The sequence below is a fragment of the Homo sapiens genome, chromosome 19, assembly GCF_000001405.40.
Source record: "Homo sapiens chromosome 19, GRCh38.p14 Primary Assembly".
Classification (NCBI taxonomy): Eukaryota; Metazoa; Chordata; class Mammalia; order Primates; family Hominidae; genus Homo; species Homo sapiens.
The window spans coordinates 1,080,199-1,095,948 of record NC_000019.10 but is presented as its reverse complement, the minus strand read 5'-3'; the positions used below and the strand labels follow the sequence as shown (position 1 = coordinate 1,095,948).

Below are 15,750 nucleotides of genomic sequence, written 5' to 3'. Positions count from 1 at the left end.
GGAGATACCCAGGCTAGGCTGGTGGCGCTCAGGGGAGAGGACAGAGGTGAGGGGACTTAATAAGCACCTAGAGAGATGCCTAAGACTCTCAGTTAACCGTCTAAAGTAGGGACACTTTATTGCCATTGCACAGGTAGGGAAACTGAGGCCCAAGGGAATTAACCCTGACCTGGCCAGGAGCCAATGGAGGAAACCCTGTACAGTTTGATGCACAAATATTTATAGAGTTCCCACTAGGCTCCCAGACCATCCCTAGGAGCCGAGCTGCCCCTTGACCCCATCCAGGCCTCAGTTTCCCCGCTCACACTTCGCCCCCGCCTCGTGGGATTCTAAACTGTTGCTCCAAGGTGGGAGTTGAACGGAAACTACAACTCCCGAGAGGCTGTGCGGCCAAAGACACACGAGAACTACGGAGGCGAGAGACTCGCTCAGCCAACTGCCGCTCTCGTAAGGCTCGGGCTGCCCTTGGCGCTGCCGATCCGAGACGTTGCTGCATTCAGGCATTCGCCGACGACAGACCAGCGCGGGGCGGGGTTAGGCGGAGGGGGCCTGATTCGGATTCGGCGCAGGCGCAGTCCGCGCGGGTTCTCGCGCGGAGAAGGGGTGCGAGCGGCGGCGGCGGCGGAGGCTGCCATGGACGACGAGGAGGAGACGTACCGGCTCTGGAAAATCCGCAAGACCATCATGCAGGTGAGCCGCGCCTGGTGTTGGGGGCGGGGGCGCGGGCGGCGGGTGTAGGGGCCCGAGGTGGGGTCGAGCACGGCGTCTCCTCGTACTCTCGTCGGAGCAGCAGCGATGAAGGGCCGGGCCGATACGGGAGGCCCAGAGGTCGCCGGGGATACCAGGCGCTGGACCCGACCTGAGCCGGCAGCGGGGAAGGGAGGGGGTTTCGAGACGTCTGGGTGCGGTGCTTAGGGGTGGGTGGGCGGCTTGGGCTGGTGCGGCGCGCGTGGCGGCGAGAGGAGGAGGAAGCCGCGAATGGGGACGGGGGGCGCCCCCAGACTCTGCCCTTCTCTGTGATTCAGCGTCGCTATTTGTCCTTGCGTCCTGAACCCCATGGAGTCTTCAGCATCCGAGGCTGGCAGAGTTGGTGGTTGGGAAGCAGCGGGCGAGCTGGGGCTTTCGATGGGGACGTGGAGCTCGGAACCCGTGCCTTGGGGTCTGGGGCAGATGGAGGCCACTGGGTCGAGTCCGGTTTGGAAGCCGGGCACAGGCCTGAGGACCTGCGGTTCAGGGTATTGCCTCAGCCATTGGGGCCGTTTGAGAGCTTTTGCTTTGTCTTGCTTCCCACCCTTTGCCCTTGTCCTCAGCGAAGCCCCCCGCAGCCTGATTCTTCTTTCTCCGATCCTCAAACATTGTCAGCCTGAAGTCACATCTGTTTCGGTCCCTGTCATTTTTTTTTTTTAAGAGATAGGGTTTCATTCTGTCGCCCAGGCTGCAGTGCAGTGGTGCAATCATAGCTCACTGCATCCTTGAACTGGCCTCCAGCAACCCTCCTGCCTCAGCCTCCCTAAGTACTGGGATCACGGGCGTGAGCCTCCGCGCCCCGCCTTTGTCCCTGCCTTTAGGGTAGCTCTGCAAAGTGGTTTGGAGGGCTTTGCTCCCTGCCAGGTTTCTGTGAGGCTGGGTGGACAGACGGTCTTGGTCAAGGCTGGACATCTCTGGGAGCCTCTCAGGATCATACTGGTCCCATCCTGTGGTGTGAGGCTGTGGGGGCCGGGGTGGCTGTCATGGAGCACACAGTGAGTGTTCATCCCGTTTGCTGTTCACCTCTGTCCTCTGCAGCAGCCGCAGGTCTGACTTCCGGGTCACGAGCTTTGGCCGCCTTCCTCTCTCTGCCCTGGGGTCAGCTGGTTCTTTCTCTCTGCAGCTGTGCCACGACCGTGGCTATCTGGTGACCCAGGACGAGCTTGACCAGACCCTGGAGGAGTTCAAAGCCCAATCTGGGGACAAGCCGAGTGAGGGGCGGCCGCGGCGCACGGACCTCACCGTGCTGGTGGCCCACAACGATGACCCCACCGACCAGATGTTTGTGTTCTTTCCAGGTGAGCAGCGGGTCCCGGGGGAGTTCCGGTGAAGCCACCAGAGCACCTGCCGAGGAGCCGGTCGCTAGCACCCACCCCCACTCGCCTGGTGCCCAGCATTTGTCTCTCTGCCCAGTCTGGGAGGAAAACTCCCCTCCCCTTCCTTGCTGTGGGTGATGCCGTTGATCTCTGACCCCTCTCATGCTCAGCTTCTTTCTAGTTTCCCTCTCAGTCCCCTTCTCTCTTCCTGCCAACGAGGAGAGTCACAAGGGCCTCCCCACTCACCCCCAGCCCCCCATGTCCTTTGCCCTAGTGTCCCTTGGCTCCCCCATCCTGGCCGTTGGGTGCACTTCCAGCTTCTTGGCCTGGCCCAGGAGGCCCCGTCTGGGTCAGCGCAGCCTCCTTGTGAGCTGCGGCCCCTGCCCGCCCCAGCCCATTCCTCCGCACCCCATGCCCCCTCTCCCCTGTCAGCGTCCGGTACTCGTCCCTCGAGCTTGTGCTCGGGCCTCTTTTCCCAGGACCCCTGGGACCCTCGGTTTCAGCACCTGCTTTGCGGAAGTCTCCGCACCTGTCTGCCTCCCTAGTATGGCTCTAAAGCCCTCAGCGGTTGGGGGATTGCAAGCGCCTTAGGGGCGCAGCCCCACGCCCAGAATTAATCAGTGGGGTGACGGAGCACGTCTGCCAACCGGACCTGGTGACGCTGCTGGGTTTTTTTGTTTTTTTTTTGTTTTTGTTTTTTGAAAAAGAGTCTCAATCTGTCGCCCAGGCTGGAGTGCAGTGGTGCCATCTCGGCTTGCTGCAGCCTCCACCTCCTGAGTTCAAGCGATTCTCCTGCCTCAGCTTGAGTAGCTGAGATTACAGGCACCCACCACCACGCCTGGCTAGTTTTTCTTTGCATTTTAGTAGAGATGAGGTTTCACCATGTTGGCTAGACTGCTTTCAAACTCCTAATCTCAGGTGATCCGCCCGCCTCGGCCTCCCAAAGTGCTGGGATTACAGGCGTGAGCCACCGCGCCCAGTCTTTTTTTTTTTTTTTTTTTTTGAGACTGAGTCTCCCTCTGTCACCCAGGCTGGAGTGTGCAGTGGCGCAATCTCAGCTCACTGCAACCTCCACCTCCCAGGTTCAAACAATCCTTCCACCTCAGCCTCCCAAAAAGCTAGGTTTACAGGCATACACCATCTCACCTGGCTACTTTTTCTTTTTGTATTGTTTATTAATTAATTAATTAATTTTTTTGAGACAGAGTCTTGCTCTGTTGCCCAGGCTGGAGTGCAGTGGCGCAATCTCTGCCCACTGCAAGCTCTGCCTCCCGGGTTCACGCCATTCTCCTGCCTCAGCCTCCCGAGTAGCTGGGACTGCGGGCGTGGGCTAATTTTTTGTATTTTTAGTAGAAACGGGATTTCACCTTGTTAGCCAGGGTGGTCTCGATCTCCTGACATCGTGATCTGCCCACCTTGACCTCCCAAAGTGCTGGGATTACAGGTGCGAGCCACCGCGCCCATCCTGTATTGTTAATAGAGACCGGGTTTCACCATGTTGGCCAGGCCGGTTTAGAACTGTTGACTTCAAGTGATCCACCTGCCTCAGCCTCCCAAAGTGCTAGGATTACAGGTGTGAGCCACCGCACCCGGCCTCAGGTGATGCTTCTTAAAGAGAGCGTCCTGGGGTGTGAGGTCTGCTTGTTGGAGAGGTTGGTGCTGAGTCACCCGCCTCCCCAGAACTGCCCAGGGTGGGAGCCTCTCAGAGTCGAAGGTCTCTGCTTCTCCCTGGTCTCTGGGTGACTGAGGGGTGTCAGCCCCCTGTCCCTGTCTCCGGGTGAATGAGAGGTTTCAGCCCTCTCTTCCCCTGTCCTGGGATCCTGCAACTCAGGCCTCGTTTTGCAAACGCGGAAGCCGAGGCCCGAGCAGGAGAGACACCTGTGTGGAATGGGGCTGGAACCTGGGTGCTCTGGGCTCTGGGTGGGCGAGGGCCACGAGGGCCCAGGCTCGTGCAGGCCAGCACACTCTCTGTCTGCAGAGGAGCCCAAGGTGGGCATCAAGACCATCAAGGTGTACTGCCAGCGCATGCAGGAGGAGAACATCACACGGGCTCTCATCGTGGTGCAGCAGGGCATGACACCCTCCGCCAAGCAGGTGGGCACCCCTGCCCCACCCCGCCAGCCTCTCCCCCTCCCCAGCCTCCTCCCGCAAGCAGTACCCACAGGCGGCCCACGTGCCTTGGGCTTTGGGCCAGGCCAGCCAGGGTGCCCTGGAGGATGTGGCCGGGATGTCCGGCAAGCCCCGACCGCCTCCCTCCCACCGCGTCCATGGGCCCCACCCCAGGCAGCCGCCGTCCTCCCCCAGCTCTCAGGAGGGGCGTCAGGGCGGAGGGCACTGTGCCTCTCGCCAGCTCCTGTGGGCTCCAGCCCTCGGCCTGGTGCAGATTCCAGGAGCCGGAGGTTCTTTATCCTGAGCTGATGTCCAGGGGGACTTGCAGAGGAGGCCCGGCACGGGGTCCTCCAGGGGCCTATCCGTGTTCCCCGTCTGTCTGTCGGACACTCTGGAGCCAGGCTGCTGTGCTGTGACGGGCAGTCAGCAGAGCAGTTTAGTCCCTGGCCCACCAGCTGTGGGGTTCACGCAGCCACACAGAGCAGCACCCCTGTATGGGGAAGAGGTCGCCCTGCCAGCTCTGAGGGCCGCCCCTGGAAGCGTGTGATGGATGGAAACACATCCGAGTTTCCACGGCCACTTCACTGCTGGATGAGGCTCTCGATGAGCAGAGAGGCTGGGGAGGGGCGGGCTGTTGAAGGCTCCTGGGCTGGCGGTGGGGTTTTCTGATTCACGACGTGGGTGTGTTGTTGGGGCACACGAGTAAGCCCCAGGTAGCTTGAGGCAGGAAATGGGGTTGGGGTTGTCTGGGCCCCTCCGGGCCGTGCCTTAGAGCCGCTCTCTTCCAGTCCCTGGTCGACATGGCCCCCAAGTACATCCTGGAGCAGTTTCTGCAGCAGGAGCTGCTCATCAACATCACGGAGCACGAGGTGGGCGCGCGCCGCGGAATCCCGCCTGCGTGGGGCCGGCAGAGATGCAGCGTTTGTGGGTGGCCAGGAAGATGTGGGATCTGGGGCCCAGGGCAGGTGTTCCTATTAGTGCATGGAGGACAGGGTTCTCAAAGGGTGGCCCTGGGCCTGCAGCAGCCGAACCCGGGAGCTTCCTAGAAATGCAGATCCCGGCCGGGCGCGGTGGCTCACACATGTAATCCCAGCACTTTGGGAGGCCGAGGCGGGCGGATCACGAGGTCAGGAGTTCCAGACCATCCTGGCTAACACGGTGAAACCCCGTCTCTACTAAAAATACAAAAAAATTAGCCAGGCGTGGTGGCGAGCGCCTGTAGTCCCAGCTACTCGGGGAGCCGAGATTGTGCCACTGCACTCCAGCCTGGGAGACAGAGCAAGACTCCATCTCAAAAAAAAAAAAAAAAAAAAAAATGCAGATCCCGGGCCCACCCCAGCCTGTAGAATCGGGACTGCTGGGAGTGTGGAGGGACCCTAGTGCTGGGACAGGAGGAGTCCCAGCAGGAGGTGGCTGTGCCCAGCCCGTCTGCCTCAGAAGCCCCAGGAGCTGTGACTCCGTCCCCCGCCTGTGGAGCCAGGGTGGGGTGGGTGGGCTCCCTGAGTGCCGGGGATCGGGGTGGGGTTCAGGGCTCTTGTCCGTCTGAAGGCGCAGGGGCTGTGGTGGCACCTGGGAGCCACGTGGGGTCTCACCAGCCCTTGGTGATGCCTGGTGGCTTCCTCTCTCGGCAGCTAGTCCCTGAGCACGTCGTCATGACCAAGGAGGAGGTGACAGAGCTGCTGGCCCGATAGTATCCTTTCCAGCCCCACCGGCCCCGCCCCTCCCTGTCCCTCGAGACTTCCGCGTTCCCCCCCCACACACACCCCTGCCCCCCCAACGGCCCTGTCTGGCATTTTCCTGACGGTGCTTCGCAGTAAGCTCCGAGAGAACCAGCTGCCCAGGATCCAGGCGGGGGACCCTGTGGCGCGCTACTTTGGGATAAAGCGTGGGCAGGTGAGCCCTGTGGGGAGAAGGGGCCCTGGGGCTGCTCTGAGCTGACCACTCGGAGAAGGGGGCTTCTGTCCCTCCCCGACAGCCCCTCCCCCTTGATCCAGGGCCTGGAGGGGACCTCGAGACCACACCCCCAATATCCCCCTCTTAAAGCCAGGGCCACTGGGCCCAGAGAAGAGCGTGACCCAGGTTCCCAGGGAGCGGGTCCCACAGCCCAGGGTCAGCCATCTCGGACCCCTGCCGGCCATCCCCAGCCCGTGTGCTGCCCGCCTGCTGTCTGGTGACTGCAGTGAGACCCCTCAAGCATTCGCAGCCCCTGCTCTCTGTCTCTGCAGGTGGTGAAGATCATCCGGCCCAGTGAGACGGCTGGCAGGTACATCACCTACCGGCTGGTGCAGTAGCTACCGCCTGACAGGTGAGACGGCCGAGGGACAGGCACTGAGGTGGGGTCAGAGGCAGGGGTGTCGTCCCCTCCGTCGGTGTGCAGGGCTGTTCTTGCTTTGTCCGGCAGCAAGACCCTCCTAGCACCAGCCCAGCTGGGCCACCAGGCGCTCCCAGGACACCCCCAGACCCCCAGACCCCACCCGACCGTAGGCTGCAGCTCTTGGGGCTGTGCGCCTGGACGGGAGAGTCCTGGTACGCGGGGCGTGCGTCTCTCCGCCGCTGACCCACCTTAGAAGCAGGAGACGTTCACCTGCAGGGCAGTTGTGCGGCGGGACTTTCCAGAAGAGGGTTTAGAAACCTGCCCAGAGACCCCAGAGCTGAGAGAGGAGGCACAGCTTCAGGCCAACCCTTCCCTGAGTGGGCACCTTGGGAGGGACTGGCCGGAGTCTCAGGAGCGGGACAGCCTCTGCCCATGGCGAGAGCCTCCCAGCTTCCCCTGGACTCTGGTCATGGCGAGCTGCTGTCCTGCAGGCCGCCCCACTTCACACTCAGCCCAGGGGTGGGGCTTGGCCTGGTCTGACGCTGGCACGGTTCCTTTGAGGTCAGAGCTACTGCCCACGCCTGTGTGACCGCTGGGCACAAGGGAGCCGTCCGGCCTCTGCACTGCGGCCTGGGCCGCCTCCTGCCAGGCCTCCCGCACCCCGTCACGTTCGGTGGGCGTTGTGCTGTCCTGGGCATACTGGATCTGCCCCTGTCGTGTGACCACTCTCCCCCTTTCCTAGCCCCTAGAGGCGGACACACAGCGACCCCCATCCCTGCAGGACAAACGCCCCTGCCCTGCCAGAATCCGGCCCCCACAGCTCTCACGGCTGCTGCTCCTCTGGACTCCCCAAGGCAGGTGGCCTCCACCCACGTTCTCCCGTCCTGGGGTGAGGCTTCCTGTGGCCCAGCCCGCCCCATTCACCTGTGGATTTGTGCGAGATGCAGCCTCAGAAGGAACAAGGCCCCCAGAGGGAGGTCACCTGGGGGCAGCTGGTGCCGGGTCTTCACCCAGACCACGCTGGGTCCCCTCTGTTGGGGGTTTGGGGTCCGGGTCTCCCACCAGCCACTGCTTCCTCCTGGGCCCTCGGCCTTCCACCCCTCGTCTTCCCTCCCTCGGGGGCCCTGATGCGTGGCGGCCCCCGCCCGGCCTCGGCTCTTTACTCCATTCACAGCCATGCACGCGCTCAAGCCACCAGGGTGCGAGATGCCAGCTCTGGAGTTCTCGGTTGTTGTAGGAGGTTGGGTGTTTTCAAATGGTAAAGATGTTTTGAGCAAATAAATTTGCTTGATACAGAAACCAGGCCGACTAACAAGGTTTCCAGCAGGTGGCCTTGCCTCACCCCAAGCACACGAGGTCAGCCTGGCAGGTGTGCCCTCCTCGCGCTGGCTTCAGGGGTCAGTGTCTCCCCAGGCCCTCGCCCTGCCCTCCCACTTCGTGCTCCTGGGTAAGGCGTGAGCGTGTCTGTCTCTTCCCTTCCCGTGAGGGTGTGGAGTTGTTCTCTGGCTTGTGCAGCTGTGGTTTGCGGCCAGTTCCTCTTACAGACGTTTGGGATCTGGCTCTACTTCCCCGTTTGCTTACTGTCTGATTTCAGAAGGCCTCGCCTGCCCAAGTTTAACCTAGCCACGTGGTTCTCTCACAGTAGCTTTATTAAGATGTAATTCACCCTCGGGCGGTCGGTGGTCTGTAACGCGCCCACTGTTCTGTGCAGCAGGGTCCCCAGATCCCCAGGCCGCGGACTGTGTGTGTGATGGGGACAGTGCTTCCCCTTCTCTCCAAATGTACTTTTTTCAAAATTGTCTTGGCCAAAGCAAGCCAGACCCAAAGGGACAAACACTGATGTCACTCCTAGGAGGTCACTAGAGTCGTCAGAGACTGGAAGTAGGATGGGGGTTCCCGGGACTGGGGAGTTGGGTGGGGATGGGGGTTCCCAGGGCTGGGGAGGAGGGAGGGGACAGAGTGTGTCATGTGCACAGTTTTAGTTTGGGAAGATGAGAAAATTCTGGAGGTGGCCGGGCGCGGTGGCTCACGCCTGTAATCCCAGCACTTTGGGAGGCCGAGGTGGGCGGATCACCTGAGGTCGGGAGTTCGAGACCAGCCTGACCAACATGGCAAAATCCCATCACTGCAAAAAATACAAAAATTACCTGGGCGTGGTGGTGCATGCCTGTAATCCCAGCTACTTGGGAGCTAAGGCAGGAGAATCACTTGAACCCAGGAAGTGGAGGATCGCTTGAGCTCAGGAGTTAAAAGACCAGCCCGGGCAACACAGAGAAACCCCCCACCTCTACAAAAAACTTTAAGATTACCTGGGCACAGTGGCTCACACCTGTAATCCCAACACTTTGGGAGGCTGAGGCGGGAGGATCATTTGAGCCCAGGAGGCCGAGGCTGCAGTGAGCTACGATTGTGCTCCTGTACTCCAGCCTGGGCCACAGGGTCACACCCTGTCTCAAAAAAAAAAAAAAATGCAGTTCCACAGGCGCATGGGCCACGTTTCCAGTGCTTGGTGGCCATGTGGGGCTGACGTGCGAAACCTTAGAGCCGGGGGATACGTCCGTCATCGAGAACGTTTTCCTGGACTGCCCTGGGCTGCAGGTGGACGTGACGAGGTCATTCGATGCCTGACCGTCTGCACAGCCTGTGGTGAAGACCACCCGGGCTCCCACCTCGCGGGGCCCCGTGGCGGGGGGTTCCCTTCCTCACACATCCCTCCCCTAGGGGGAGGCCCAGGGCCACGCCACGGGGCTCTCTCTGTCCCCTCCCTGGCCCCTTCTTCTAAGCTTGCAGCTGCCACAGAAAATCTTCTAAGCTTGCAGCTGCCACAGAAAACACCCGATTAAAAACTTTTTATTTCAGCAAAATAAACGTGCCTGTGAAAGAACCACACGGTGGCTTCCGAGAGACCCCACTGTGTACCTGAGCCCCAGGTGGCCACACCTGGTGTTCTGGAAAAGGGAGTCCAGGGCCAGTATTCAGGCCCTGCTGTACTGCACCCTGGAAACTGCACCAAACCCCAGCTCCGCCCCCATCCACGGCTCCCAGAATGGTTTCTGGAGTCCCTGCAACAGACCTGTGAGGAGAGGGCAGGGCAGGGCCTGCCTCCTGCGTCCCCGTGATGACCTGGGGGATGCACTGGGCAGGGACAGCTTCCTCCATCCACACAGCCCTGTGGGCACCAACAAGGCCACTGTGACTTCACACGACAGCAGTGTTCCCCAGCTCAGCTGAGCCGGGGTGCAGGGGACAGCACAGGGCACAGTCCTGTGCCGCAAGGCCCTCGTGCTCCTGGAAGCCTCTGGGAGGAGGCGCCCGCTGGTGGGACGTCGAAGTCCAGGCGCTCTCGGCAGCGACCCCAGGACGGCGCACCTAAGCTATGCCGTGGTGCAGGGGACGTGCTGGAGGGACAGGAGCAGGCAAGAGAGAAGCCACCTGTGGTCCCAGCCCCACCCCAGCTCACACGAATTCCGGCTGCCTTTCCCTGCAGGAGCCCAGTGTCATCCGCCCGCCACGGAGCCTCATGGGGGGCAGTGGGGCCTGCAGCACGTTGTTGGACTGGTTGGTGTTGAATCCTGAGAGCTGCTGGGCCGGGCCGTCCTCGTCCCCGTCCCCGTCCTCCCGGGCTGTGGCCTCCAGCTGCTCCTCACTGCCGCTGTGGCTGCCAGAAGCCACCTCTAGGCTGGCCTCGCTCTGCTGCTGCTCCAGGAAGCTGAGGTGGCCCAGGGCACTGGCCTCCGATGAGGACAGCAGCTCGGAGGCCTCCTCTAGGTCCGAGTCCGAATCGTTGGACACAACTCGGGATTCTAAGAAAGGGAGACAGATGGCGGGGGGAGACAGACAGGAGAGATGGAGGAGAGACAAGGGGAGGGACAGACAGGAGAGATGGGGAGAGACAGGAGAGGGGGGAGAGAGATGGAGAGACAGGAGAGATGGGGAGAGACAGGAGAGATGGAGGAGAGACAAGGGGAGGGACAGACAGATGGAGAGACATGGCGGGGAGGAGGAGAGAGAGACAAGGGGAGAAACGGAAGGAGAGAGGTGTTGATAGGGTCTGGCTCTGTGTCCCCACCCAAACCTCATCTTGTAGCTCCCATAATTCCCACGTGTTGTGGGAGGGAGCTGGTGGAGGATGGTTGAATCCTGGAGGTGCGTCTTTCCTGGGCTGTTCTCATGATAGTACGTGGGTTTCACAAGATCTGATGGTCTAAAAACTGGAGTTTCCGGACACAAGCTCTCCCTTTGCCTGCCACCATCCATGCAAGATGTGACTTGCTCCTCTTTGCTTTCTGCCATGATTGTGAGGCCTCCCCAGCTACATGGAACTGTAACTCCATTAAACCTCTTTCTTTTGTAAATTGCCCAGTCTCAGGTATTTCTTTTTGAGACAGAGTCTCTCTCTCTTGCCCGGGCTGGAGTGCAGTGCCATGATCTTGGCTCAGTGCAACCTCTGCCTCCCCGGTTCAAGTGATTCTCCTGCTTCAGCCTCCTGAGTAGCTGGGATTACAGGTGCCCTCCACCACACCTGTCTAATTTTTGTATTTTTAGTAGAGATGGGATTTCACCATGTTGGTCAGGCTGGTCTTGAACTCCTAACCTCAAGTGATCTGCCTTGTCCTCCCAAAGTGCGAGGATTACAGGCGTGAGCCACCGTGCCCAGCCTCAGGTATTTATTTATCAGCAGTGTGAAGACAGACAACACAGGTGTCCCATAACTAGATGCGGCACTCGGCCAGCTGCCTCTGACAGGTGGTGCTGGCCCCACGTGGGTCAAACTCCCAGCCCCACGCCCTTCTCTAGAAAAACGGGCTCCTGCAGGAAAGGCACTTAGCCTGACCTGGTGCACCTGGAGCCTCACAAGGCATCAGCCCCACGTTCACGTTACTGGTTTCTGAGTGCGGGGTAGGCACCTCAAAAGGCACTGCCTTGCCTGTTTTTGCAGCCGGTTAAAGGACACTGAATGAGTAGCTCATAGGTGTGGTCTCCGTGGCAGACGAAATCCACAGAATGTGCAGCACCGTGGACCCTGCCACGTGTGTACAACTAGGTCATGGCACCTGCGCCCATGGGTGGCACACGCCAGCCTCCCTTGGGGCCGTTCGGGCAGCCACACACTCACCTCTGCACCCGTCCGCCGCCGCCTCCTGCAGCGGGTAGACCACCGCCTCGCCCGCCTCCAGGTACGGCACCTGGACGACTACCTCAGCTCGCTGGTTGGATGACTCGTCCTGCAAGTGCAGAACGGAAGTCATAGAGGGGCCGGGGCTCCATTTTCCATGTTATAAATTAACAAACCCACCCACACAGCCCGTAACAGCTACTGACACCCGCTGTTGCCCAGGCGGTCTGTCCTCAGCCAAGAGCAAACCCGAGAAACCGCAGCCCCTAAACACCCAGGGAAGATGGATTGAAAGAATACGAGACGCCGCGTGCAGTGGCTCACACCTGTAATCCCAGCACTTCAGGAGGCCAAGGGGGGTGCGGATCACTTGAGGTCAGCAGTTCGAGACCAGCCTGGCCAACAAAGTGAAACCCCATCTCTGTTAAAAATACAAAAATTAGCCGGGTGTGGTGGCCGGCGCCTGTAGTCCCAGCTACGCGGGAGACTGAGGCAGGAGAATCGCTTGAACCTGGGAAGCGGAGGTTGTGGTGGGCTGAGATCGCCCCATTGCACTTCAGCCTGGGCAGCAGGAGCGAAACTACAACTCCCAGAAAAGAAAATCTGAAGCGGGGAATTGACCTCGCGGCGGAGTGCAGTGGCAGCTCGGGCAGGCTGTGGACACCGGGCCAGCGTGGAGCTTGTGGCTGCAGGCAGCACCGGGATGGGAAACGGGGAAGGAAGCTGGGGGTGAAGGGTGAGGCCCAAGGCCAGCCCCAAGGGAGAGTGGAGGGGCGGCCGCAGAGCCTTTGCACCTCTGCCAGATTCAATGCAGACCTCGCTGAGTTTTTTGCATAAAAGACACAAAAAGACAGTGGCCTCCCGAACAGCCCTGTCCAAACCAAATTATCTCCCTGTGGTTCCTTGGGCTTCATCCGACAACGACTGTCCCCAGCAGCGCCCCCTGCTCCCCAAGCCCCGAGTGGCCAGCCCCGGTCAGGCCCACACCCTCACCTGGCCCCCGGGGGTCTCCTCCGGCTCCTCCTCGAAGACCAGGCCGTAGTGGACGATGAGAGTCTCGATGACGCGGGCCTGATGGGGATAATCCACCAGGGAGGAGAGGGACACGGTGGCCTCGGTGGGCCGTGGCCGAAGCAGCGTGGGCCCGAACACGATGCCCAGGTTCCCGGGGGTCATCTTGTTGTCCTGCTCCACCTCCACGATCCTGCGGGGTGGGCAGGGGCCAGGTGCTGAGCGGCTCCCGGGACCCCGCGCCCTCCACTCCATATGCCGGGACTCACCTGCGTAGGTGACGCAGCAGGTACTGCAGCGAGGCCCGGTTCTCAGGCGGCAGGTCCCGCAGGAGCTCCCGCAGCCGACCTGCCAGGGCCACCGCCACTGCCTCGCTCTCCGAGCCGTCCTGCCGGCCCCGGGACGCCGCCTTGGCCTCGGCCTCTGCCTTCAGGCTGTCCTTGGCCAGCCCTACGAGCTCGTGGTAGAGGCGGAAGGAGATGAGCGGCTCGGGAAGCTGCGCAGAGTCAAGGGTCAGCAGGTGTTGGTGGGCCTGGCCCAGCCCCCACGTGTGCCTGCCACGCCCCCAGCCTCAGCCCCACCCCCACAGAGCACTGGCCACACCCCACCGAGCTCGGGTTCCACCCAGAGCGGCGTCAGTCCCCTTTCCCAGCCCAGCGTGAGCCCTGCCCCTCCTACCCGGGCCACGCCCGCAGCTCCACTCCCTTTCTCGCTCTGGCCACGCGCGCCCCGCCCTGCAGGTACCCTAACGAGCTCCGGCTCCACTCAGCATAGTCTGACCCCTTCCCAACCACCTGCGAAGTGCTGGTCCCACTCCCATCCCAGCCCAGCTCCGCCCTTCCCCAGACATGACCACGCCCCTAGCCCCAGTCCCGCCCTTCCCCGGGGATGACCACGCCCCTGGCCCCAGCCTCGCCCCACCAAGCCCAGGCCCCACCGCCAGCCCCGCACTTGTCTAGCCTCAGCCCCGCCCCTAGCCTCATACGGGTCCCTGCCAAGCGCTGAACACGCCCATCTTGCTCTGGCCACGCCCCACCGAGCCCCGGCCCCGGCCCCGCCCCCGCACAGCGTCAGGTGTGCCTCTGCCGTGGCCACACCCCTGCCACGTGCTGACCAAGCCCCACCCCGCCCCTCCTGTCCCTGTCCGTGCCTCGGCGCAGAACTGGCCCCGCCTCGCTCCTACCGTGACCACGCCCCCAGCCTCAGCCCTGCCCTGCCAGGCACTGTCCCGCCCACCCTGTCCTCCCCAGGCCCCCGCTTGCGCCAGTCCTGCTCCAGCTCAGTCCTGCTCCAGCTCCCGGACCCCCACCCCGCCTCCTCCTGCCTGGCTACGCCCCTTCCAGGCTCTGCCTGGCCACCACCGGTGGGTCTCACCTGACGCAGGTAGAGCTTGAGGACGTTGCTGATGTCGTGGGGCGAGGCCTGCGACAGCTCGACCAGCTCCTTGCCGTTCTCGAAGGCCTGGCACAGCTTCTCCACGCGTGTCTTTACCCCATTGACCCGGTAGATGCCCTGCGGGAGCCCGGGGGTGGGGAGGCCCATCAGCCTCGGCCCACTCCCGCCTCCTCGCTGTGAGCCGCTTCCTCCCCCGCCTCACCTTGGTGCGCAGCGCCCGCCGCTCGATCTCGCAGACGCACTTCTTGACGATGAAGGGCACGCCGTCGGGGGCGCTGCGGGCCGCGTGGCTGAAGTCCTGGCCGAACAGCTGCAGGCGGCCTTGCAGCTTCTTGTGCCCGCACTGTATGGCCAGCGTCTCCAGACATTTCTTGTGGCAGGCCAGGCAGCACTGGGGGCGGCCAGAGTGAGTGAGCCCAGCCCCGGGGCGCCCAGCTCAGCGCAGCCCCCAGCGGCTCCACCCCACCTCCCCGGGGCGCTCACAGCCCCCACACGGCAGCTTCTGCAAACACAAGCTGGACAGTGGCTCGTGGCTTCCACCCCAGGGGTGATCCCGCCTGCCCTGTGGCCTCCTCTCCTTCCCGCCCCTTGGTTTTCTGGACACAGCTCCAGGGCCTTTGCCCTCCAGGTCTTCTGGCCACAGCCCCAGGACTCTTCACCCTCCAGGTCTGCCCCCTGCCTCGCTGCCTCAGAGAGCCAACCCTGCTCCCCAGAACTAAAAGAGCCCACCCCACCCCCTCCGTTCGCTTCCTTCCAAAGGCGTCCGACTGCTCCCTGCTCTGGGCCGGACATTCCTGAGGGCACACAGGCCGGCGGTGCTGGGCACCCCAAAGGCTCCCGAAGGCTCCCAGCTGTCCGTCGGGGCGTCCCACTCACCTCTTCACACTCAGCACCCTGGAAGTAGACGTAGCTGTTGCACTCGCGGCACTTGGCGGGCGTGCGGAGCTTCCGGAGCCGGTGAGTACGGGCCGCCTTGGACAGCCCCTCGTGGCGGAACGGTCCACTGGGCACGGCCACCGGCAGCTCGGGGGTCATGCCGTTGAGGTCAGCTGCGGGCAGCACAGGCAGCCGGTGTCACCAAGGCAGCTCAGGGCCAGGCCCATGGACTGTGTCCAAACCCCCCTCTCTCTCCAGCCCCGTCAGGGGACCCTCACCCTGCTCAAAGGCTGAAGCCCCGGCTCCACCGTCTGGGTCCACCAGCTCCTCCGTGGACGACATGGTACCACTGGATGACGTCCGCTCGAACTTCTTAAAGTCCCCTGGGCGGGAATCAGGACTGTTCAGACTCCCCCAGCCAGGGGGGCCCCCTCCATCACCCCGGTGGGTGATGAAACCCTGAGGCTCAGGAGAGGAGGCAGCTCCACACCCCAGCCCGCCAGAGAGCCTCCCTCACCTGCGCCAGGGCCGGGGTCCAGCCCACTGTCCGAGTCTGAGATCGAGAGCGGCCATGACTTGTGAACCTGGTGTCCTCGCCCGGCTGGAGAAAGAGGCGTCTCTGGTGAAGGGCCAGGGTGGGTCGCAGGGAGCCAGCGTCCGCCCCTGGGCCCCGCCGGACACTCACCCCTGTGGTCCTTGGCAGGTGTGCCCTCAGTGCACCCGCCTTCTTCTGGGGGGCTCCCGGCAGCCTCCGGCCGCGCCACATCACTCACGTTGAAGCTGCTCTTCCGGGCACGCATGACGGGGGACCTAGTGGAAGAAACCGGGAAAAGGAGGGGAGGTGATGGGGGGCAAGACAGCTTCAT

At 62.4% G+C, this 15,750-nt stretch overlaps 2 protein-coding genes across 16 annotated transcripts in view, besides 9 other annotated features; one reads left to right on the top strand and one right to left on the bottom strand.

Moving 5' to 3' along the window:
* Positions 541-630: an enhancer, noted in NCBI's record as "active region_13583". NCBI's record gives its function as "activates an Ori minimal core promoter by ATAC-STARR-seq in GM12878 lymphoblastoid cells {active_cell/tissue: GM12878}" and the evidence as "EXISTENCE:reporter gene assay evidence [ECO:0000049][PMID:35858748]".
* Positions 574-9,375, top strand: POLR2E (RNA polymerase II, I and III subunit E). 5 transcript variants are annotated; one of them, NM_001316324.2, is made up of 8 exons: positions 574-690; positions 2,046-2,193; positions 4,042-4,157; positions 4,961-5,041; positions 5,804-5,862; positions 5,987-6,065; positions 6,398-6,477; positions 7,229-9,375. In NM_001316324.2, the coding sequence occupies exons 3-7, from the start codon at positions 4,089-4,091 to the stop codon at positions 6,461-6,463; spliced, it is 354 nt and encodes a 117-aa protein (NP_001303253.1). In that variant the 5' UTR covers positions 574-690; positions 2,046-2,193; positions 4,042-4,088; the 3' UTR covers positions 6,464-6,477; positions 7,229-9,375. The 5 variants fall into 5 exon arrangements, with proteins under 5 accessions (NP_001303253.1, NP_002686.3, XP_011526372.1 ...); NM_002695.5 differs by lacking the exon at positions 2,046-2,193 and adding an exon at positions 1,871-2,045; XM_011528070.4 differs by lacking the exon at positions 2,046-2,193 and adding an exon at positions 1,871-2,045 and having other exon boundaries at positions 5,984-6,065.
* Positions 1,388-1,923: an enhancer, noted in NCBI's record as "H3K4me1 hESC enhancer chr19:1094025-1094560 (GRCh37/hg19 assembly coordinates)". NCBI's record gives its function as "activates a minimal SCP1, AML or CMV promoter by ChIP-STARR-seq in naive H9 embryonic stem cells {active_cell/tissue: H9 hESC(naive)}" and the evidence as "EXISTENCE:reporter gene assay evidence [ECO:0000049][PMID:30033119]".
* Positions 6,894-6,993: an enhancer, noted in NCBI's record as "active region_13582". NCBI's record gives its function as "activates an Ori minimal core promoter by ATAC-STARR-seq in GM12878 lymphoblastoid cells {active_cell/tissue: GM12878}" and the evidence as "EXISTENCE:reporter gene assay evidence [ECO:0000049][PMID:35858748]".
* The window catches only part of ARHGAP45 (Rho GTPase activating protein 45), a 20,670-nt gene continuing 14,240 nt past the window's right edge, over positions 9,321-15,750 (bottom strand). For 8 of the 11 annotated variants that reach the window (XM_047438547.1, XM_047438548.1, NM_001258328.4 and 5 more), the window contains 10 exons: positions 15,570-15,694; positions 15,402-15,485; positions 15,163-15,267; positions 14,885-15,057; positions 14,211-14,399; positions 13,988-14,125; positions 12,883-13,109; positions 12,596-12,806; positions 11,603-11,711; positions 9,321-10,289 (listed from right to left, as the gene is read on the bottom strand). In XM_047438547.1, the coding sequence (XP_047294503.1) occupies positions 9,943-10,289; positions 11,603-11,711; positions 12,596-12,806; positions 12,883-13,109; positions 13,988-14,125; positions 14,211-14,399; positions 14,885-15,057; positions 15,163-15,267; positions 15,402-15,485; positions 15,570-15,694 (1,708 nt within the window). In that variant the 3' untranslated portion in view covers positions 9,321-9,942. Of the gene's footprint in view, positions 10,290-11,602; positions 11,712-12,595; positions 12,807-12,882; positions 13,110-13,987; positions 14,126-14,210; positions 14,400-14,884; positions 15,058-15,162; positions 15,268-15,401; positions 15,695-15,750 lie in introns of all 11 variants that reach the window. The other 3 variants (XM_047438546.1, XM_047438545.1, XM_011527858.1) reach the window with 1 other exon arrangement.
* Positions 9,560-10,059: an enhancer, noted in NCBI's record as "H3K4me1 hESC enhancer chr19:1085889-1086388 (GRCh37/hg19 assembly coordinates)". NCBI's record gives its function as "activates a minimal SCP1, AML or CMV promoter by ChIP-STARR-seq in naive H9 embryonic stem cells {active_cell/tissue: H9 hESC(naive)}" and the evidence as "EXISTENCE:reporter gene assay evidence [ECO:0000049][PMID:30033119]".
* Positions 13,049-13,218: an enhancer, noted in NCBI's record as "experimental_50734 CRE fragment used in MPRA reporter constructs". NCBI's record gives its function as "activates a minimal promoter by MPRAs in K562 erythroleukemia cells, with activity observed for both the introgressed and non-introgressed 19:1082815 or rs76508986 variant alleles {active_cell/tissue: K562}" and the evidence as "EXISTENCE:reporter gene assay evidence [ECO:0000049][PMID:34662402]".
* Position 13,133: a transcriptional cis regulatory region, noted in NCBI's record as "Neanderthal adaptively introgressed variant 19:1082815 (GRCh37/hg19 assembly coordinates) or rs76508986 in the experimental_50734 CRE". NCBI's record gives its function as "modulates activity of the experimental_50734 enhancer by MPRAs in K562 erythroleukemia cells {active_cell/tissue: K562}" and the evidence as "EXISTENCE:reporter gene assay evidence [ECO:0000049][PMID:34662402]".
* Positions 13,393-13,882: a silencer, noted in NCBI's record as "silent region_9663". NCBI's record gives its function as "represses an Ori minimal core promoter by ATAC-STARR-seq in GM12878 lymphoblastoid cells {active_cell/tissue: GM12878}" and the evidence as "EXISTENCE:reporter gene assay evidence [ECO:0000049][PMID:35858748]".
* Positions 13,393-14,558: a biological region, named in NCBI's record as "H3K27ac-H3K4me1 hESC enhancer GRCh37_chr19:1081390-1082265".
* Positions 13,683-14,558: an enhancer, noted in NCBI's record as "H3K27ac-H3K4me1 hESC enhancer chr19:1081390-1082265 (GRCh37/hg19 assembly coordinates)". NCBI's record gives its function as "activates a minimal SCP1, AML or CMV promoter by ChIP-STARR-seq in naive H9 embryonic stem cells {active_cell/tissue: H9 hESC(naive)}" and the evidence as "EXISTENCE:reporter gene assay evidence [ECO:0000049][PMID:30033119]".

What these genes read in the sequence shown, in the direction of transcription:
- POLR2E (XM_011528070.4), top strand. Translation starts at nt 634, where the DNA reads ATGGACGACGAGGAGGAGACGTACCGGCTCTGGAAAATCCGCAAGACC. An exon ending in TGACACCCTCCGCCAAGCAG is followed by an intron (nt 4,158 to 4,960) that starts GTGGGCACCCCT and finishes GCTCTCTTCCAG; the next exon opens with TCCCTGGTCGACATGGCCCC. An exon ending in ACAGAGCTGCTGGCCCGATA is followed by an intron (nt 5,863 to 5,983) that starts GTATCCTTTCCA and finishes GACGGTGCTTCG; the next exon opens with CAGTAAGCTCCGAGAGAACC.